Genomic DNA, 23,729 nt, shown 5'->3' with positions numbered 1-23,729 from the left:
CCACTCATGTGGCATACAGTAGGTACTCAAATTTTAATTTTTTGGATGAAAGCTATAATTTTCCTTAAATTAATGTAAGTATTGAGATCAAGCATGTGAGTAGCAAAGATTGTCTCCTTGACCAAACCATAGTCGAGCTCTTCTGAGCAATCTTTTTCACTAGGTCCAATTTTGGGTTCCTTTGGACTTCTTTGTGGAGTCCAGTTCTAGTAAAATTCCTGCTAAGTCATTTTAGCCAGAATCCCCCATTCATGATATCTGATCATCCTCAATATCTATCAAGTTTCTCAACCTCTACCAACCACCATGTGATGTCTGATCATCCTGGCCTGTCTTCAGCAAGAATCCTGTTAGGTTGATTTAGCCATAAACCTTCTTCCTCTTGATGTTTCCTCTTAGTAATTTTCCATCCAATGGACTCCACCCTGCTCCTTCACTCCAAATTCCCACTTTTCCTTTCTATATTCAAAGGTGAGCCCGGTCTCTCTACCATTCTGCAAAACGTGATTGAAATGGTCCCTGTACCTATCTTGATGGTCCTGTACAAAGTCTACTTCACCATGTTTTAACAAGTGTCATGAATAATTTTTTAAACTTTTCAGTTCGGGGTACAGGTACAGGATGCACAGGTTTGTTACATAGGTAAACGCGTGTCATGGGAGTTTGTTATACAGATTATTTCATCACCCAGGTATTAATCCTAGTGTCTATCAGTTATTTATTTTTCTTCTTTAACATGAGAAAGGGAGAAATCAAAAGAGGGAGTAAATAAGTGACTTTGTCATCTAGTCAATGACTCAATATCTCCAAGGACAGGGACTTTACTACCTCTTTAGGTGGCCCATTATAATATTAGAAACTTACTTAGATTTTGAGCCGAAAGCTTTTTCCCTAAAACTGCCACCCACTCAATGGTGCATGTTCTATTTCCTGCAACCACACAGAACTACTTCACTCCTACTTACATGTGACAGTACTAAAAATATTTGAAGAAAGTTATCACATTCCTTCTCTCTAGGTTAAACATTGTCATTTCTTTCAACCATATCTCCCACAGTGTAATTTTTTTAATCTCATTATCCTGGTTACTCTCCATTTTTCTTGCTCTTGTTTCCTTTCCTTTAATGCTTCCTCCACATTTCTTCGAATTCTTCCTGAGAGTGTTGACTTCTGTATCCTTGACTACTCAATAAGAGTGTCTTTTTCATTCTATGGAGCAAAACAACTCAAAATTCTGTTCTAGTGTTATCGTTTGCCTGTTGGCTTTTGATATTGCTGCTGTCATCCTAAAGTGGTGATTTTCAATCTGTGTTCCTGAAAACTGGAGAACTCAGCAGAAGCACCTCCAGGTAGTTGAGGAGGAGGTAAGAGCTGGGAGTGGAAACCTCCCACATCTCTGCTTCAGCTAGAGCAACTACACTTTTATCCACCTCTATATCCAGCTTCTGCATGGAATTGCATTTGAAAGATTGTTCTGAAAAAAAAAATTAAAGTTTTCACAGCATCACCTTAGAATAGAGGTGGAATAGTACAAGAATGTGCAGAAGACAGCAGGATTCCTTGAAGCCAAAGAGGTTACCATAGATTTATTCAGGCAGGAATACTTTGTCCTAGGAACTCAGCTTCTTCTAAGCAGTCTACCAACTTGAGATCAAATTTTCAATTGCATTCAGATGGTGTTGCTTCTGTTCTTAATAGCACAGACACGTTCATCTTCCCCACTAAAATGAGCTCCTGCCTGGCATGACTGTGTGTAGCCAGCTCAGTCTACTTAATTGGCATTGGGAGCACAAAATGGGGCAATTCCGTGGTATATGGGAATGGAATGTCCTCAAATTCAGAATACGTGATGCTGTATTTCCATTCCCAAAGGATGGGATGAAGGTCAATGGCCAGTTTCTCCTGGGTAAGGATAGAGTCATTATTTGGAGGCATAATTAAGAACCATGTCCATGCAAGGGTTTAGGAAATTGGTCCTCAATTTTAATCACACATTAGAATCTCCAGGGGAATTTAAATAATACCAGTGCCCAGGCATTATGCTGAGAGGCTCTAATTTAATTAATTTTGGGTAGGACCCTGGCATCAGTATTTTTTAATCTCCCCAGGTGATTGTGACACGTAGTCAGAGCTGAGAACCTCTCATTTAAGACAAAACTAATTGAACATGATTTAAACAGGAAACCATTTGTTCAGGTATGCAAAGGCAGTGGAACTAATGGTTGAAGTGACTGAGGGATTTAATGAGTCTGAAGAGATTATTCTGTGGTGAGCAGGAAGGGAAACAAGTACCAGGAAGTAATTGTTTCATTTAGCATTTCTCTTGGGCTTCAGAATGATATATTTACATATTGGAAGGATATGTTTATGGTACTCTCAATATGCACCTCAGAAAGATTTTTAAACCATCTCTTACAGGCATAGACAAAAGGCCAGCCACAACCAGAGGCTTGCTAGCCAATTGTTGTCTTAACTATAGTAGAATCAAGGAAGGATTTGAGTCCAGGGAACTGAGACAAGGGAAAGCAGAACAGACTCCATCAAACTTCTCTCTCTCTCTCTCTCTCTCTCTCTTTTTTTTTTAATAGAGACAAGGTCTCGCTCTGCTACCCAGCTGGAGTGCAGTGGTGCAATCATAGTTCACTATAGCCTCGAACTTCTGGGCTCAAGCAATCCTACCACCTCAGCCTCCCAAATAGCTAGGACTACAGGCACGAAGCACTGCATCCAGCTAATTTCTTATTTTTGTAGAGACAGGGTCTCCCTATGTTGCTCAGGCTGGTCTTGAGGTCCTGGGCTCAAGCAATCTTCCCACCTCAGCTTCCCAAGATGCTGGGATTACAGCTGTGTGTCACCACACAGAGCCCAAACTTCTCTCTTGTTTGTACTCTCAACTCCCTGGACCCTTATCTTTCCTTTTTTTAAACTGTATTTGTTGAGTTAGTATGTATCAGGCCAGATAAGTATTGAGTACAGAAAATAAAAAAGTGAAGACATTAACTTAGGGCTTGATTGCCAGTACGAGAGCTGATGGTCTAGCTTTTCCTTCCTTCTCATTCAAGTTTTTTAAGCAGCATATTACATTCCATCTGTCAGCTTTCCCACCTCCAATTCAGATCAATCTTCCATCCTTTCCATTGCCCTATAACTTGTAAAGTTTTAATCACCCAGTGGGTTCTTCCTGTCCACTGCACAGACAAAATCAGCTCACTGAGACCAAGGCATTGCAGTAAAGAGTTTAATTAATTCAAGTCCACCCATGTGGCAGATGGAGTTATTACTCAAACTAGTCTCCCCAAAGGCTTGAAGGTTAGGATTTTTATGGCAATTTTATGAGCAGGGGGCTAGGGAATGGATGCTTCTGATGGGTTGGGGATGAAATAATAAGAGTGTGGAAAATGGTCCTCATGCACTGGGTCCACCTCTGGGTGGGACCACAGTACAGTTGAGTCTGGGTGGAGTCAGTCAGAAAAACATCTTTAAAAAAACCAATCAGGCCTGGCGTGGTGGCTCATACTTGTAATTCCAGCACTTTGGGAGGCTGAGGCAGGTGGATCACCTGAGGTCGGGAGCCTAACCAACATGGAGAAACCAGCCTAACCAACAAGGAGAAACCCCATCTCTACTAAAAATAGAAAATTAGCCAGATGTTGTGGTGCATGCCTCTAATTACAGCTACTCGGGAGGCTGAGGCAGGAGAATCACTTGAACCCGGCAGGCGGAGGTTGCAGTGAGCCAAGATCGTGCCATTGCACTCCACCCTGGGCAACAAGAGTGAAACTCCATCTCAAAAAAAACACAAACAAACAAAGAAAAAAACCAATCTTAGGTTCTACAATAGTGATGTTACCTATAAGAACAATTGGGGAAGTCACAAATCTTGTGACCTCCTGCCACAACTCCTGAGCATTTAGGGATTATAGAAACTACACCTACAATGAATGTGTCAATCAAATTAAAATTAAAATACATATAACTGTTGAAGAAATGGTTTTCTAGGAAAAAAAATAGAGTAAAATATTTTATATCTTTTTTTTTTTTTTTTTGAGACAGGGTCTCACTCTGTTACCCAGGCTGGAGTGCAGTGGTGTGATCATAGCTCACTGCAGCCTTGAACTCCTGGACTCAAGCAATCCTCCTACCTCAGCCTCCCAAGTAATTGGAACTACAGGCATGCACCACCATATCCAGTTTATTTGTGTTATTTTTTGTAGAGATGGGATCTCACTATGTTGCCCAGGCTGGTCTCAAACTCCTGGGCTCAAGCAATCCTCCCACCTCGGCCTCCCAAATTGCTGAGATTACAGGCATGATGAGCCACTGTGCCTGGCCAGGTTTTATATCTTTTTAATGAGAAAAAGAATTACACGTCAATGAGATGCTTAAGACAGAGTTTGAATCTCTTCCGTTTTTCCTGAGTCTGATAAAACAATCAACATCCTTTATAGTCAGTACTTCTGGGAGAAACCCAAAAAAGAAGCAGGAAGAGAGGATATTTAGAATTTATTTCTTAGGATATAATAAGAACAAGAGCAATACATAGAGCAGTCTCTATGTGTATTTGCATAGAGAGTATGGCTCATCAGCTGAAAGAAACTCAGACAGTATAACAAACTTTCCTTGCATTTCTCAAGGTACCTGATAGAAAATCCACTCATAACTCAAAACAAAATTTCTTAAATCCTTTTTTTTTTATTCTTCCCAATTTTTTCACACCTCCCCACCAAGAAAACTGTCTCTCTCCAGCAGCTAGCTAGGTACGCAACCCCCTACACATCTTCATCGCTTCTTCCCACTCATCTCTTAGTTTCCCAACTTAACTATTTTCCCTTTTCTCTAATCTTTCTTGTCTTATACCTATCCACTAGTTTTTCAAATTCCAGATACTTTTTTTTTAGACACAGGGTCTCACTATGTTGCTCAGGCTGGTCTCAAACTCCTGGGCTCAAGCGATCCTCCCACCTTGGCTTCCCAAAGTGCTGGGATTATAGGTGTGTGCCATCACACCCAGCCCCAGATAATTTTAAAATCCTGGAATCACACTGGTAGAGACAGAACTCTCCTTAGACACTAAAAAGAGGAGAGAATCTGTGTAAATGAATATAAAATTACCTTTAGTTAGTAAAAGGGTGGGAGAACTCATTCTTTATGAATAAATCTTGTTTCCACCACATTCATTTATATAGTATGTAGCTGAATGGGAACTCATCCACACCATATGCCCACTGACTTCTAAGTCTGGAGGGAGGCAAAGCAACTCAGATTCAGAGTTCTCTGTCTCCTCCATAAAAGTAAACTGCCTCTAACGTATCTCTTCCACAGCATACATAGCACCAAGAATACTCTAAGGAAGTCCCTTCAATGTTTCCAGCAAAAGTCAAAATAGAGGATGACTTCTGGAATGCCAGTGGAGTGAGGATTTTGCCAGGACTACTCCCCCTAAAAACCAAACATTATAAGCATGCAACAATTTAATGTCTCTTCAAATTTCCCTAAGGAAGGGCATACAGCAAATGAAGAAATATACTAAATATTGGTAAGAACAGCAAGAATCTATGGCATTTAACCCATGACCCACTCCCTCCCTCACCCCCTGAGCTCAGCTTAAGGAAAGTTTCAATCTGGGTAGGCGAGGCTAAGAACACAGGGCTCCCTGTCTCTCCAGTTCCCAGTCAGAAGCTATGAAATCTTGCCAGGAGAGTCATGTTGCTAGCATTGCTCATCCCCCAACTTCAAGCTTCCTGTGGCAGAGGCTAAATTCTAGGTGAATATAGCCAAGACAGTGAGGGCTCCCTGCCTCCACCCAGTTTCCACACAAAGGGTGGAGGGTCTACCCCAGTCTGGTATAGCAGGCCAAAAACACTGAAGGCCTAATAACCCTCACTGATATGGTTTGGCTGTATCACCACCCAAATTTCACCTTGAATTGTAATAATACCCAAGTGTCAAGGAGAGGGCCAGGTGAGATAACTGAGTCATGGGGGCAGTTTCCCCCATACTGTTCTCATGGTATTGAATAAGTCTCAGAATATCTGATGGTTTTACAAATGGGAGTTCCTCTGCATAAGGGTGACACCAGTCTGGGGTTGGACGGGTAGTTGCTGGGTAGGTGTCCTTGAAGAATTATTACTTTGTGTTTAAGATTATCATGACCTTTGTATAAGGTTGCGGTTTTGCAGAGTCTTTTGTAATAGTTTTTATCAAGCATTTATGCATGAGAACCGTACCTTCATGGCGCTCCTCAGCTCTATTTGTCAGATTGTTTCTTTTGTTTTGTTTTTAACACAAGGAATTCATTCCATTTTTATTCTAATAACCTTCACGTGTAACTCACACACAGGAAAAAAAAGGCAGACAGCAAAAAAAATGCCTGTGACAAAATTCAGATATATAGATAAGGACTTCATATGAGCCATTATAAATATGTTCAAAGAACTAAAGAAAACTATGCTTCAACCAGTAATGGAAGGTATGATGGCACTGTCTCATGAAATAAAAAATGTCAATAAAGAGATATAAATTATTTTTAAAGGACCAAATGGAACATCTGGAGTTGAAGAATGCAATAACTGAAATAAAAAATTCACCAACAAAGCTCCACAATAGATCCAAACTAGCAGAAGAAACAGTGACTGTGTAGATAGATTAATAGAGATGTTGCAGTCAAAAAAAAAGAGAAAGAGATTAAATAATGGTGAAAAATGAACACAGCCTCAGAGAAATATAGGACATTATTAAGAGCAACAAATACACATAACGAGAGTGCCAGAGGAGAAGAGAAAGAAAAAGGAGCAGAAAAAATATGTGAAGAAATAATGGCTGAAAACTTCTCAAAATTGATAAAAAACATAAATCTACATATCCAAAAAGTTCAAAACCTCCAACAATAAATGCAAAGAATAAATGCAAAGAGATATACTTCATAGTAAAATGTTGACAGCCAGAGATAAAGGGTACATCTTGAAAGCAGAAAGAAAAAACTACTTATAAAGCAGTGTTCTCCAACCTTTTCAGCACCAGAGACCAGTTTCATGGAAGACAATTTTTCCACAGACTGGGAGTGGGGGTTGGGGATGGGAGTGGCAGGGGTGGTTTTGGGATAAAACTGTTCCATCTCCAATCATCAGGCATTAGATTCTCATAAGGAGTGTGCAACCTAGATCCCTCACATGTGTGGTGCACAATAGGGCAGGTGCTCCGATAAGAATCTAATGTCACCACTGATCTGACAGGAGGTGGAGCTCAGGCGGTCATGCTTACTCACCTGTCACTCACTTCCTGCTGTGCAGCCTGATTCTTAACAGGCCATGGACAGGTATTGGTTGGCTACCCAGGGGTTGAGGAGCCCTGTTATAAAGTACAAGGGAACCCTAATAAGATTAACAGCTGACTCCTCATCAGAAACAATGGAGGCCAGAAACAATCATGTGATTCATTTAAATTGCTGAAAGAGTAAAACTTTTAATAAGGATCATATATCCCACAAAACCATCTTTTAAAAATAAAAGCAAAAGAGGCCAGGCATGGTGGCTCACACCTGTAATCCCAGCACTTTGGGAGGCTGGGGCGGGCAGATCACCTGAGGTCAGGAGTTTGAGACCAGCCTGACCAACATGGAGAAACCCTGTCTCTACTAAAAATACAAAAAAATTAGCCGGGTGTGGTGGCACATGCCTGTATTCCCAGCTACCTGGGAGGCTGAGGCAGGAGAATCGCTTGAACCCGGGATGTGGAGCTTGCGGTGAGCCAAGATTGCATGCCATTGCACTCCAGCCTGGGTAACAAGAGTGAAACTCCATCTCAAAAAATAAATAAATAAATAAAATAAAATAAAAATAAATAAAGGCAAAAGAAAGACATTCCGAAGAAAACAAAAACTGAAATAACTTGTTGCTAGTAGACTCTCTTTACAAGAAACACTAAAGGAAGCTCTTCAGGCTGAAAGCAAGTGATCTCAGACAATAATTAGAATGCACAGAAATAAACAAAAAGCACCAGTAAAGGTAATTATGTAATTATAGAAGATAGCAAAAATGCATTTTTTCTCCTTTCATCTCTTAACTTATTGGAAAAACAAATGTACAAAACAGTATGTATCTTTTTGCATAATCAGGCCTACAACATATGCCAATGTAAAGTGTCTTAAAATAACAGAACAAAGGAGGGGATGGAAGAGAAGCTGTATTGGAAAAAAGGAAATAATACCAGATGGTAACTTGAATCAACAGGAACAAAGAAAGAGACCAGAAATGTTGTAAGTAAGAAAGGTAATATAACACCCTCTATAAATATATTGTTGCTGTCCTTTATTCTAGCAGCTTCTTTAAAATACATAAAATTATACAAAGTAATAATTATAACAATGTATTCTTGGTCTTGTAACATATAACTAGAATATGTATAACAATAATACCACAAATAAGAGAAGCAGGACTAGAAATATATAGGAGTAATGTTTCAATATCTCACTGGACTTAAGTTAGTGTAAATCTAAAGTACAATTGACCCTTGAACAAACAACACAGGTTTGAACTGCACAGGTCAACTTATATGTGGATTTTCCTACACCTCTGCTTCCTCCACTTCCAACCTGAAGACAACAAGAATGAAGACCTTTATGATGATCCACTCAATGAATAGCAAATACATTTTCTCTTCCTTATGATTTTCTTAATAAAATTTTCTTTCACCTAGCTTACTTTAAGAATACAGTATATAATAAATGTAACATACAAAATATATGTTAATTGACTGTTTATGTTATCCATAAAGCTTCAGTTCAACAGTAAGCTCTTAGTTGAATCTGGGGGGAGTCAAAAGTTATACATGGATTTTCAACTGCATTGTGGGGGTGGCTCCCCAAACCCCACATCATTCAAGGTCAACTGTAGATACCATTAAGTTATGATGTGCATGGTAAGCCCTAGAGCAACCACTGAGAAAATAAATGTAGTGAAAAAAATCATTAAAGGAATTAAGTTTTTCCACTAGAAAATATTCACTTAGTACAAATGAAAGCAACAAAGGGCAGAAGAACAAAACAGCCATGAAACATACAGAAAACAAAAAGTTAAATGACAGACATTAATTTAATTGTATCAATAATAATATTAAATATAAATGATGAAACAATTAAACTAAAAGACAGAAATTATCACACTGGATTAAAAAAATAAGATCCTATCATATGCTGTCTACAGATGCAAACTTTTGAATGAAAGATACAAATGGGTTGAAAATAAAAAGATAAAAAGGATATATCATGAAAAGGGCATGTAAAAACTCTTGAACATGGCCGGGTGTGGTGGCTCACACCTGTAATCCCCGCATTTTGGAAGGCTGAGGTGGGCAGATCACTTGAGGCCAGGAGTTCCAGACCAGCCTAGCCAACATGGTGAAACCCTGTCTTTACTAAAAATACAAAAAAATTAGCCAGGCATGGCAGTGCACGCCTGTAGTCCCAGCTACTCAGGAGGCTGAGGTGAGAGGATTGCTTGAGCCCCGGAGACAGGGTGCAGTGAGCCAAGATTTCTCCACTGCACTCCAGCCTGGGCAACAGAGCGAGACTCTGTCTCAAAACAACAACAACAACAACAACAACAACAACAAAACAACAAAAAAACAACTCTTGAACAAGGAGATTTGATGAGTTTCACAGGGAGGTGCTGGGGGTGGCCTGTCCAGAGAACATGGAAACTCAGTGTTCCTCTCCCCTACACCTTGCATCTCTTCCATCTGATTGGTCCTGAGTTGTATCCTTTATAATAAACCAGTCAATGTTAGCAAAGCATTTCTCTGAGTTCAGTAAATGTAAAGCATTTCCCTAAGCTATTCTGTCAAACACAGAAGTGGGTCATGGGAGCCCTTAATTCATAGCTAGTAAGCCCTCAAGTTGTGGAATCTGATGCTAACTCCAAGTATATAGGGTCAGAATTAAATTAAATTGTAAGACACCCAATTGATGTTCAGAGAGTTGGAGAAGTGCTTGGTGCAGAAAAAAAAATTCACGCATCTGGTATCCAAAGTGTTGGCTGAAAGTGTAGAGAAACAGAGTGTGTTTTGCTCAACCACGGACAATTGGAGACAAATACTGCACCTTCAGCACTACATAGAACAGTTATGCAGAACACGAACAAGAAAACAGAAGACTTGAACAACACTGTAAACCAACTAGACCTGAGAGACATCTATTCAACACTTCACCCCAAAACAGCAGAATACACATTCTCCTGAAACACAGAACATTCTCCAGAGGAGACCATATGTTAGGCTATAAAACACATTCCAATAAATTGAATAGGACTGGAATCATATATGTTATCAGATCACAATGGAACGAAATTAGAAGTTAGTAACAGAAAAAAAAATTGGTAAATTTATAAATATGTGAAAATTACACAACATACTACTAAATAATCAATGAGACAAAGAAGAAGCCACAAGCAAAATTAGATAATAAAATGAATGAATAAAAAGACATAATGCACCAAAACTAATGCAATGCAGCTAAATCAATTGTAGGAACCAAGGGAAAAACTTCCCTTTCACCCTCTGAAGTTTTGCTGAAAAGTCAACTACTCACAAAAGGCAGATTAATTAGAGAAAAGGCATACAAATGTATTAACATGTTTACAGAAAGAACCACAGAGTGATCACCCATCCACCAACAGAGTTCAGAAGCTTATATACCATTTTGAGGTTACACAAAGAATGGGGCTTGGATCCTGGCAAAACAGATTATGGGAGAGAGGAGAAAAAGAATTCTGTTGAGGGGCAATAAAGAGGAACAGAGATTAACTGGTACATAATTCTCTTTGGATTTGAATGACCCTGGGAGAAAGACATTATCTTGTGAAAGGGTCAGTTCAGATCTTGCTTCGTGCTTGGTCTTACAGGGAGAAGAAAAAACTGGCTTTTCATTTGTTTGTTTGTTTGTTTGATATGGGGTCTCACTCTGTCTCCCAGGCTACATTGCAGTCACATGAACATGGCTAACTGCAGCCTTAGCCCCCTGAACTCAAGTGATCCTCCCTCCTCAGCCTCCCAAGTAGCTGAGACCACAGGTGTGCACCACCACACTTGACTAATTTTTAAACTTTTTTTGTAGAGACAGGGTCTCACTATGTTGCTTGGGCTGGTCTTGAACTCCTGGGCTCTAACAATCCTCTCACCTTAGTCTCCCAAAGTGTTGGGATTACAGTTGTGAGCCACCACACCCAGCCAAAACCATTGTTTTTGTTGTTGTTGGTCAGGATTTGGGGCAGATAAAGGAGCTTTGGAGAACAACTTCCTCAAGGCTTTGTGAGAGTAGGTGGTAGGGGGAGGTCAGAGAGACCATAAGGCTTCTTCTTCATTTCAGCATGTCAAAGCACCACATTTTGGGGCTTCAGTTTTTGAGCCCCAACACAATACTCAAAGGGAAATTTTAAGCTGTAGACATCTATATTAACAGAGAAGAATAATAATCTAAACTTGCAGCTTAAGACACTGGAAGAAGGTCGGGCATGGTGGCTCCCGCCTGTAATCCCAGCACTTTGGGAGGCCAAGACAAGAGGATCACTTGAGGTCAGGAGTTCGAAACCAGCCTGGTCAATATGGTGAAACCCCGCCTCTACTAAAAATACAAAAATTAGCCAGGCATAGTGGCACATGCCTGTAGTCCCAGCTACTTGGGAGGCTGAGGCAGGAGAATAGCTTGAACCTGGGAGGCAGAGGTTGCAGTGAGCCGAGATTGCACCACTGCACTCCAGCCTGGGCAACAGAGCGAGACTCCATCTCAAAAAAAATAAATAACTAAAATTTAAAAAAACACTTGGAAGAAGAAGAACAAATTAAATTGGGAGCAAACAGAAGAAAGAAAATACTAAAGGTGAAGGCAAAAAAAAAAAAATAGAAAACAACAGAGAAAATCAAAGAAGCCAAAAATTAGTTATTTGAAAAGATAAAGAAAATGGAATTTTAGCTGCACTGACAAAAAATTAAGAGAGAGGAAACACTTAAAATTTTAAAATCAATAATAAAAGAGGGAACATAACGATCACCTTATAGAAATCGTAAGAGTTATAGGTGACTACCATAAAAAACAGTATGCCAACAAATTAGATAACATAGAAGAAATAAAATTTTCTTTTATATATATATTTTTTTTGTAGAGACAGGGTCTCACTATGCCACCCAGGCTGGTCTCAAACTCCTGGCCTCAAGCAATCCTCCTGCCTCAGCTTCCCAAGCACTGGGATTATGAAAAAATTCTTTAAAAGACACAAGTTGTTGTGGCCGGGCTCAGTGGCTCACGCCTGTAATCCCAGCACTTTGGGAGGCCAAGGTGGGCGGATCACTTGAGGTCAGGAGTTCTAGACCAGCCTGACGAACATGGTGAAACCCCATCTGTACTAAAAATACAAAAATTAGCCGTGTGTTGTGATAGGCACCTGTAATCCCAGCTACTCTGGAGGCTGAGGGATGAGAATCACTGGAACCCAGGAGGTGGAGGTTGCAGTGAGCTGAGATTGTGCTCTGAAGCACAAATCCCATTCTGCCTTGAGGCCAGGGCCCAGTCTTTTGCATGAAGGGTTGGTCAGTCTGTGTGCTGTCTGTAGGAGGAAGTAGGGGCTAAGTGGGCCAAGGCAATGCTCTGCCAAGCCCATGTTCTGGAGAAAGGGGGTAGCAATGAGCACTAAGCAGCCAGCACTCACTGTAGCAGGGGCCTGGGCGGGCATGGTTAAAGGTACTGCACTATTTGTTCAGGAATTAATATCTCTTAAGAAATGGCTGCCACTCTTTCAGTGATTACGTACCAAGCACTGTACTCAAAAATGGGCTTAGATTTTCTCATTTAATCCCCACACCACCATGGAGAGATAAACAACTTTTTTCCTCCTTTTGCAGATGAAGAAACTAAAGCTAAGTAACCTTAAATAAGGTTTGATATTACAGATAATAGGCCAGGTGAGATGGTTCACGCCTGTAATCCCAGCACTTTGGGAGGCCAAGGTGGGAGGATCACCTGAGGTCAGGAGTTCAAGACCCACCTGGCCAACATGGTGAAACTGCATCTCTACTAAAAATACAAAACTTAGCTGAGTGCAGTGGCAGGCACCTGTAATCCCAGCTACTTGGGAGGCTGAGGCAGGAGAATCACTTGAACCTGGGAGACAGAGATTGCAGTGAACTGAGATCATGTCTCTGCACTCCAGGCCTGGGAGACAAAGTGAGACTCCGTCTCAGAAAAAAAAAGAAATTACAGATAATAAGAGGCAGAGCCTGGATGAGAATCTAAGGTGATTTACTCTAATGTCCAAGCTGTGAACCACCATTTGGTCATTATAATGAGTCTATAAGTTTTATATCCCCAATCTACAAATAAGGTTTTATCAGATCCATTAATGTACCTGTACTTATGTAACTGGTATGTACTAGACATTAATGACACACAGACCATTGAAATGGCATGATAAAACATATGTTACACCTGACCCATTTCACTCAGTGACAGAGCAAGATCCTGTAACAAAAAAAAAAAAAAAAAAAGACGAAAAATTCACAGAGTTCTAAAAGAAGCATAGATGAAAGATATGGATTGGTTTGGTACCAGTAAGAATGATTTCAGCTGCAAATAATAGAAAACCTAATTTTAGCTGGCTTCAACAATAATTGAATTATTGATTCAATTATTCAATTGATTTATTGTCTTACATACCAAGTAGTCTTGAGGAATGACATTTCCAGGGCAATTAACTCAGTAACTCAATGTTAGTTTCAAAGTTCCAATTATTTCCATCTTTCTGTTCTTCCATTTCAGCCCTTTGGCCTTTCTCTTAGGCATGTCCCCTCATGATCACAAGAGGACTGCCATAGCTCTACATGTCACCTCCTCACCAATAACATCCACAAACTAGAAAAGAGATATTTTTCTTAGGCTCTCTCAAAAAGAAAAAAAAGACACATTTATTCAGTGCCATGATCAGACTGTTACATTTAGCAATCAACAGCATGGATGCAAATTTTAAAAAATCTACATTAAAACCCTTTGTTGGAATGCTTTACACTTTCCACAGAACAGAAACTAAAATAACCTGTTATACAATTAGTCACAAATACAGTCCTCAAGTTTTTTGCCCATACACATGAGTATTTGTCTAAAACATGTCTTCTTTGTAGCAGCTAGGTCCTGCCACCACTGCATTTGGCTGAGGTCACAATCTGTTGTAACCCGTAGCTTCCCTGTCACTTCTCTAGCTCTCCTCTCCTGCTAAGCTTTGTTTCCTGGCAGTAATTAAAATTTTCTGACACTGCCATAGCTACTACATTACTAGAATGGCCATATCCACCTTGGTTTTGTGGTTTGGCACATTATTGGCCTCCACCACCATAGGGGCCAGAACTTCTGCTTGCAAAGTTTCCTCCCTTCAAGGGTCCAAAATTTGAAGACTGATTGTTATAATTGCCAAATCACTGTAGCTTTTACCACCTCCAAAATTGCTTCCATCATTACCAAATCCATTATAGCCATCCCCACTGCTGCCATATTCAACACCACCACGGCTGCCACTAAAGCCACCACAACCACTGAAGTTTCCTACATGACCAAATTTGTCATTCCCACCAAAACCACCTCCACAACCACCACAAAAGTTTCCAAAACGACTTTGACCTCTTTGGCTGGTGAAGCACTAGCCATCTCTTGCTTTGACAGGGCTTTCCTAACTTTACAGCTGTGGCCATTCATAGTATGGTGTTTTTGAATGCCAATCTTATCTACGGACTCATGGTTGTCAAAGGTTGCAAAGGCAAAGGCCCTTTTCTTGCCACTGCCTCGGTCAGTCATGATTTCAATCACTTCAATTTTTCCATACTACTCAAAATAATTTCTTAGGTGATTTCTTCAGTGTCTTCTTTAATGCTGTCAGCATATATCTTTTTCACAGTTAAGTGGGCACCTGGTCTTTGAGAATCTTCTCTTGAGACAGCTCTTTGGTTCCACAACTCTTCCATCCACCTTGTGTGGCCTTGCATTCATGGCTGCATCCACCTCCTCCACAGTGGCATATGTGACAAACCCAAAGCCCCTGGAGCACTTGGTGTTCGGATCTCTCATGACCACACAGTCCATGAGCATTCCCCATTGCTCAGAATGGCTCCTCAGGCTCTCATCAGTTGTTTCAAAGCTCAGCTCTCCAATAAAGAGCTTCTGCAGCTGTTCGGGCTCTTTTGGAGACTCTGAGTTTGACATGAGAGCAGTGGGAAGAGAGACTTTAATGATGCTTCCTCGGTGGTGTCCACAGGCAGAAAGCTAAGGTTCCTTTTTAAGGTAAGAAACACTTTCCCAGAACCTCCCAGCAGATTTCCCTTGTGTTAGTAATTAGAATTACATCACATGATTATTTCTAACACAGTCACTGGCAAGGGAAACAGAATTATTACAATTGGCTTAAATCAGTCAAGATTCAACCCCTAGGTCCAGGAAGAGGCCCCTGCCACCTCCGATGCATGGCACCACTAAAAATAGCAGAGTGTTGTTAAGTGGAAAGAAGAGAGGATATGGGGAGGCAGCTGAGGTCTGCCATGGTGTGAAACAAGGAAGGTGCCCTAGATAAGGCAATCCTTGAGCTAAATTTTAACATGCTAGTAGAGATATGCCAGGTTAAGTGAACATAGGAAGGAGTGGCTTGAGGAGCAGGCAGGGCTAGAGAGGGGCATTCTAGACAAGGAGACAACATGAACAGAAGCATAAAGGCTAAGGAGAGAGTGAAAAACTATAAGCTATTTGCTGAGTTATAAAATGAAAAAAGATGAGATTATTGAGCTAGCAAGTCAAGTCAACTAGGTTTGTCTGTCTGCAAGCAGAATTGTATGAAACTAGAAGAGATAGGTCAAACCTTCTTTGGATTTCCGTCAGACAGATTTTCAACAAACGGCCAGTTTCCCTAAGATATCAAAATGAAAAATTTAAAAACTCACAAGTTCAGATAATAGCTTTAAAACAACCCTCCTGTTCTTCCAAGGCACCTCCTTTTACCCATCTAGTAACCAAATTTCCACATTCTCCCTCTCTTTCTCTCCTTTAGGCAGCACAGGTATGCAAGACAGGGCCCAGATCTTTCAATAACCTGTGGACACTGGACTGACCACTTCTTGGAGTGGCTTGGGATAAAGTGAAAGGTCTTGCCATAAGACATCCCATTATGTGTGAGGCTCTTTTCCTTGAAAGCATTTTTCATGTAAGCTTTCCTGGCATACCTGTATGTTCTCTTACTTTCACTGAATATATTTGACTGGGAAATTGGAAATAGCTTAGAGAAATTGAAAAGGGAGACATGAGGCTGCCTACTAGTAGAATTGAGGCCCTTTCCTAATTGACTTTCTCCTCCTACTGGGCAACCTTTGGACTCATGGTGCTCTTATGGAATCATACCTGACCTAAAATTCATGACTTCAAGAGTGATCTCCAACTGCCCTCCCCACAACACCTATGTAATCTAATAATTTGGGCTTTGACTGTAATCACAAATTCTCTCCCTCTATTGGGACCCACTATGGTCTGAATGTGTCCCCAAAAATTCATGTTGAAACTTCATTGCCAAAAGAGGTGGGGCTGGCTGGGCATGGTGGCTCATGCCTGTAATCCCAACACTTTGGGAGGATGAGGTGGGCGGATCATTTGAGGTCAGGAATTCAAGACCAGCCTGGCCAACATGGCAAAACCCCGTCTCCACTAAAAATACAAAAATTAGCCAGGGGTGGTGTGGGTGCCTGTAATTCCAGCTACTCGGGGCACTGAGGCAGAAGAATCACTTGAACTCGGGAGGCAGAAGTTGCAGTGAGCCGATAGGGTGCCACTGCACTCCAGCCTGGGTAACAGAGCAAGACTCCATCTAAAAAAAAAAAAAAGAAAAGAAAAAAGAAAAGAGGTGGGGCCTCTAGGGGGTGATTAAGGCATGACAGCAGAGCCCTCATGGATCGTATTACGGCCCTTATTTTAAAAAACTTGAGGAAGTGGATTTGCTGTCGTCCATTCTTTCACCAGGTAAGGACACCTAGGCAGGGTCATCTATGAGGAATGAGCCCTCACCAGACACCAAACCTGCTAGTGCCTTGATCTTAGACTTCCCAGCCTCCAGGACTGTGAGAAAATAAATTTCTGTTCTTTGTAAATTACCCAGTCTCAGGCATTTTGTTCTAGAAGCACAAATGGACTAAGACAGGACCATAGCTATGAACACCATTCCATAAACTGCCTAATAGAAAACTGCATGATTCTCACACCAGGACCTATGAAGACAGAGTGCAGCCAGGGTCCACAAATGCACATCCTCTGTGTTCCTGCTCCTGAACCTGGGGAGGGAGTCTCTAACCAACTGTAGATGGTGAAAGATCTGTTTAATATTGAGTCTACATGTCACCTTATCATCTTATATAGGTTCAATGCTCCACAAAGCCAAAAACTATTTATCAGACATGGTATGAAAAAGATCAATTTTTCTGTCCTATACTAGTTAGGCAGTCCCATCTGTAGGGATAAAAGGAATGAAGGGCCTGGGAATAGGCCATGTTATTACACAAGGTGCCCAAATAAAAGGAACTTGGTTTATGAAGTGCTGACAAGAAATGACTGAGTAGCACAAAGACAGAAGAACTCTTTCTGGTTGGGGTGATCAGGAATCACTGTTTTGGCTATGGTAAGGATGACTAATCTTGGGATTCTGAGCCAAAACGCCATTTACACCAATAATAATAATATGCTGAAACTAATTAATACTTTATTCCAAGTCACTCCAGGCATCTAAATAATAGGAAAGATCGATTTTTAAAATTATTTCCAAATTCCCCACAAGAGAAGTAAAAACCTATAATCACTGAAAATTTCTAATTTAATAAGAACAGAAAGCAGATGAAAACATGTTTATAGCTCATGTCTGCCAAAGAGAATTAACTACTATGCACTTTAAAACTCTTCTTTCACTGGGAGATTAGGTGCAATAAAGCCCAGCACATCTTGTCTCAACCATGAAATAAAATGATCATCTGCTTATCTATCATTTACTTCACACAGAGGGCTCGCACCAATAAAACTGAAATTTTATAGAGCTATGAAGGAAGACAAAATCCATAAAACATTCCATACACTTTTATAGCTTAAAGATGCCTCTCAGAAAGGTGAACCACATATTTACAAACAAGCCTACCTTATTGTCCTTTCTTTCTTCAGACTGCCTTTTTTCACAGTATAGTAATTCCCCAGGTATTCAGAGCTCAGATTCCAGCAGCTCTTTAGGTATCTGAGCATGATCATTGTGATTGGAATTTTCTTATTAGGAGGAAAATATTCTCAGCACTGTTGTCTAATGTCTGCTGAGCAGAGGCAGCCCTGAGCTGAGAGTAGGTAAAATTGCCACCCCGAGGGAATCTCTTTGAATCTGCTGTGATTCTGGAGGCTGCCCGATTCAAAACAATAAAAATAAAAATGTTTTAAATTGCCAAACCCCCTACTCACTGAAGCAGGAGAAAAAGAGATAGGACCAGAGATCATAAGCAAGAGTTGGGAGGTTTTTCTTCCCAAACAGACAAGCAGCCTCTCTTCTGGAATCAGCACGCACTTCGGGGCCTTCTTTTGCTGAATCTTTGATCTTTTGGCCTCTGAACTGTGTCTGTTCAATTCTGTGGAAATTTATTTAACAACACTATAATCCAGGCATTGGAGAGATAATGAGGCCCCTCAGGAGCTTATTGAGTGGTAGAGAAACAGACAAGCAAACAGATGATTCCAATGCAGTCTGTTATGAGTCAAATAGAAGCAGGCACCAGCTGTGGTGGAGGATGGGGATGAGGTTAACCCTGTTAGAGAGTGAAGGGGTTGTGGAGATATTATGGAAGGGTTCTCAGAAGAGCTGATGCTTCAACATAATTGAATTGATGTATTATGATTTGTTAAATACTAACATTTCATATCTATTAATGAGATTAAAATATATATAGACTACTTAATTTAAAAAAAACATAATGCCTGTTTTCTCATAAAATCATATAAGAAAATACTACCTACAAGAAACCACACACCTTGACCCTATTGTCACCATGGACAGGTCTCTGATTACTTCTTTTATCCCTTCAAAGGATTCCTGCCCTGGAGGGGAGAGAGATCAGAAAATGCAATTAGAATAACGTGGGAGATAAAATAAAATAAAGATCCAGGTAACAAGAAGAAAAGAAGGAGAATATACTTTTCTGTGACTTCAGACTTTCCATCTGCAGCAGCATAAGCTGGAGAAACGAAGATGATTTCACTTAAAACCAAGATGAAATATTTGACTATGACATGGAACTGGAAAGCATCTTTGGTTATCTGAAAATGATGAGAAAAGCTAGGGGAATGGCATTAAATTTTATACAAGGACAAAGAAAGGACTAGCTGCTGACTGGGTACAGTGGCTCATGTCTGTAATTCCATCACTTTGTGAGGCCATAGGGGGAGGATTGTTTGAGGCCAGGAGTTCCAGATAGGCCTGGTCAACATAATGAGACCCTGTCTTTACTTAAAAATAAAAATTAAAAGAACTAGTGCCACAGAATAATAAAAGGGGAATAGTAAACATGATTAAATTGCCTCATAAACTCCAAAGCAGTGCTTGTTCAACATAAGAAATGCAGGCTAAGTCAAGGAGAAGGAGAAGGTGAAGGAGGGGAAGAGGGAAGAAAAAGGAGGAGGAGGAGGAGGTGGTGGAGGAGGAGGAGGAGGAGAAGGAGAAGACATAACATAATGACACTATGCTAAGTGAAATAAGCCAGACGCAAAAGGAGAAATAGTGTATAATTCCACTTATGTGAGTATGATGGTTAAATATTTTGTTTACCTTTTGTTTTTGTAGAGACGAGTCTCACTATTATTGCCCAGGCTGGTCTCAAACTCCTGGCCTCAAGTAATCCTTCTGCCTCAGCCTCCTGAGTCACAGGGATTACAGGATGAGGATGATTAATTGTATATGTTGACATCAGTTCTTCCCTGGGTCTCCAGCCTGCTGGCCTTGCCATTCCTGAAAATAAATCAATCTCTCTCTCTCTCTCAATCAATCTCTGTCTCTATATGTGTATGTGTGTGCGTATAATGTATGTGTACACACACATGCACACACACACGCACAGACACACACACATCCTATTGGTTCTGTTTCTCTAGAAAACCGTAACTACTATAATGAGGTACCTAGAGTGGTCAAAATCAAGGAGACAGAATGTTAAATAGTGATTGCCAATGGCTAGGGGAAGGGGGAATACAGAGTTATTGTTTAATGGTCAGAGTTTCAGTTTTGCAAAATGAAAAGAGTTATGGGGATGCATAGTAGCGATGGCAGCACAACAATATTAATGTACTTAATGCCACTGAACTGTACACTTAAAAATGGTTAAGGCAGTAAATTTTATATTACATGCATTTTACCACAATGTAAAAAACAAACAAACAAAAGACACACATACACACACACACAAAAAAAACAGATGAGAGGACATTGTTATACTTAAGTACATGAAGCCAGAGACTGGAAAAGACTACAAAAAGCAGAACAGGGAATGAGAAAAGACCCACAACCCAGTCATATAATTATGAAATTCCAGAACACCAAGGTTACAGAGAAGGGTATGAAAGCTTTCAGAAAGAAAAAAATGTAAACATGTAAAACGTCATTTATAAAGGTTTGAAAAAAACACAGAAAAAAAACAGAAACAGAGAGACTTAGTATCCATGAAACAACATGGATCCAAAGGTGTGACAAAAAATATTCCCAGAGGATGGCTCTACAACAGGCTGAGAATGCCCACTTTCACCACCGTTATTCAACAAAGTACTGGAAGTCCTAGCTAGAGCAATCAGACAAGAGAAAGAAAGAAAGGGCATCCAAACTGGAAAGGAAGAAGTCTAATGATCCTTGTTTACAAAGAACATAATCTTATATTTGGAAAAACCTAAGGACTCCACAAAAAAACTTAGAACTGATAATAAATTCAGTAAAGTTACAAGATACAAAATCAACATACTAAAATCCGTATCATTTCTATATGCCAACAGTGAACGATCTGAAAAAGAATCAAAAAAGCAATCTTATTTAAAATAACCACAAATAAAATTAATACCTAGGAAGCAAGCAAAGAAATGAAAGATTTCTACAATGAAATTCTTAAAACATTGATGAAAGAAATTGAAGAGGACACAAAAAAATGAAAGATATTCTATGTTCATGGATTGGAAGAATCAATATTGTTAAAATGTCCATACCACCCAAAGAAATCTACAGATTCAATACAATCCCTATCAAAATACCAATGACATTCTCCACAGAAATAGAAAAAACAATCCTTAACTCTAGCCAGGGACCCGCCCTTCTCCTTCCAGCACTTCCCGCCCCCTCCTGTATCATTTTTACCATAAAAAAAAAAAATGCAAAAAGAAAATGTGAACAAATTCAGATTACTATTATAACATATGAATATAATAATCTAATTTTTAAAAGCATATCATAAAAGGAAATCACATAGAAACTACTCTAACAGTAGTCTACGTGTAGTGAAGTATAAGCAAGTAGAGCTAGTATGGAATCACGGAAAAAACACAGACATGGGGAGTTCTGGTTCCAGCTTTGAGTCTGCATCTGAGTGATCTTGGACATGTCAATGACCTCTTACGGGTTCCATTTTCTTCCACTGAATCACTAAGGAGTTGTGCTTGATCAGCACTTGCCCAAGAATGATGAAACGTGAGCCCCACAAAATTATACATTGGGGGGAGAAATGAATTTGTGGTCCAATCATCTTGGGAAGCAAAACATTGCCTCTTGGACACCACAATCTATATTAGCATTTTAAATGCTATATGGATATGTGAAATATTATAATAAATAAAACTTTATGTGTTTAATCTGCCCCATAAATCTATCAGGCCAGGTTTTCTCCTCATCATTTTTTTCCTTTGAACTGATTGGCAGTTCTCTGAATCATTGTTTTGTGGAAAACATAGGTTATTAGTCTGTTCTAGCACTGCTATAAAGAAGTTCCTGAAACTGGGTAATTTATTTAAAAAAAAAAAAGGTTTAATTGGCTCACCATTCTGTGGGCTGTACAGGCTTCTGCTTCTGGGGAGGCCTTAGGAAACTTACGATCATGGCAAAAGGCAAAGGGGAAGCTGGCATGTCTAATACGGCAGGAGCGAGAGGAAAACAGAGTGAAGGGGAAGGTGCTACACACTTTCAAACAACCAGATCTCATAAGTACTCTAACACAGGACAGCACTAGGGGGATGGTGCTTAAGCATTAGACACCACCCACCAATTCAATCACTTCCCAGGCACCTCTTTCTACACTGGGGATTACAATTCAACATGAGATTTGGGTGGGGACAGAGAGCCAAAGCATATCAATAGGGAAACACTAACCTAAAATAATTTCTAAGATAAACATTCTAAGATTCTTTCATTATACAAGACTCCACAGCAATACCCATACAATGGCCCTTGGATCAAACAGTGATAGATTTGGGAAATGCATATATTTACATCATTTATTTCCATGATTCCTTTTTTCAGTGCTACGAAATAACTTCACAAGAAGTCATTTAATATTAGATCATGAATGTCATTTCAGAAATAAAATTCTCATAAAATGAAATGATAGTTTCAAAGCACAGCTTGGATCTAGAATTATTTCCACTTAGAAATAATTCTAAAATAGAATTATTATATCTACAACTTTTTCTATGACATAAACTACATAACAGATAAATGTCTTATCTTCTTATAAAATGAATAAACACACACAGAGAGAGACACTGACTCAACCCACCCTTACTAAGCAAATAGCAAATCTTCCTCTTTTGACAGAAGCAAATCTGGACAAGGAAAATGTAAGGTATTATTTCATAACTATAAACTAATTTTCTTATGAATTTATGAAAAGAGCTGGTGAGAGCCTCTGTACGTCAATGCCACAACACGGAAAACACTTCTCCTTAGGAGCAGAGAAGAAAGAACCTGATTAAAATGCAGTTGATAAGACCTGTCCATCATACATCATACAGAGCTGAGAGGAGCTCTTGCTTTAATGTCCTGGCAAACTGTGGGAGCAGATGCTGTCATTGGCTCAGGGGAGTCATCGAGGAAACATTAATATAAAAGAGCAGTTTTGCAGGAATGTTTAAAGGCCTTGTTGTAGCAGAGGGAGAATGGGTCTTCAAAGCATTTCTACCAAGATAAGACACGAGGGAGAAGTCTGGATTTATAACAGTCATCAGCTGTAGAAGAAGCCGGAGACCTTGACATCATTAGCAACAACTCTGTGTAGATTTTTCCTCTGTGGGAGGTATTTATAGGTGAATTTTCAGTCATTATTCCCAGTTCTTCCAATTAAGGTTACATGAAAAATCTAACCTGCCAGTATTAACATTCTATGGAGGCTTGTCTTCCTGAAATCAGCACCATAGCCAAGGTAGAAAAAAAAAGTATTTCTGTGTAGGCCAATTTAAAAATAAATTGCCATCTGCCATCAGCAGGGAAACTTCACTGGCCACATAAAAAAGACACTATTCCAAGGCCATTGTTGAGTATCTGCTGCAGTATAGAATTAAAAAACTAAGTGTCCCCATAGGCTACGGACCCATAGTTATTTAAACAAAATACAGATATTTTCTACTTCATTAGGGCTTAGTCAACTAATCTTTTGTCTTCTTTAGATTCATAGGCACACAA

At 39.9% G+C, this 23,729-nt stretch overlaps 1 long non-coding RNA gene and 1 pseudogene across 5 annotated transcripts in view; both read right to left on the bottom strand.

The window, feature by feature from the left end:
• The window catches only part of LOC105374455 (uncharacterized), a 56,893-nt gene that overhangs the window by 4,504 nt on the left and 28,660 nt on the right, over positions 1–23,729 (bottom strand). Inside the window, exons 1-2 of one of the 5 annotated variants that reach the window (XR_939944.3) lie at positions 19,221–19,407; positions 19,057–19,123 (exon numbers count right to left, since the gene is read on the bottom strand). The exons of 1 other annotated variant lie outside the window; for it this stretch is intronic. This is a non-coding gene — a long non-coding RNA (uncharacterized LOC105374455). Of the gene's footprint in view, positions 1–965; positions 3,518–19,056; positions 19,408–23,729 lie in introns of those variants that run through there. 3 more of the 5 variants (XR_939941.3, XR_001739394.2, XR_939945.3) reach the window with 3 other exon arrangements.
• On the bottom strand, positions 14,079–15,292 carry HNRNPA1P61 (heterogeneous nuclear ribonucleoprotein A1 pseudogene 61; annotated as a pseudogene).

This window comes from Homo sapiens, chromosome 2 (genome assembly GCF_000001405.40).
Source record: "Homo sapiens chromosome 2, GRCh38.p14 Primary Assembly".
In the NCBI taxonomy this organism is placed as follows: Eukaryota; Metazoa; Chordata; class Mammalia; order Primates; family Hominidae; genus Homo; species Homo sapiens.
This window is presented reverse-complemented; position numbering and strand designations above follow the sequence as displayed.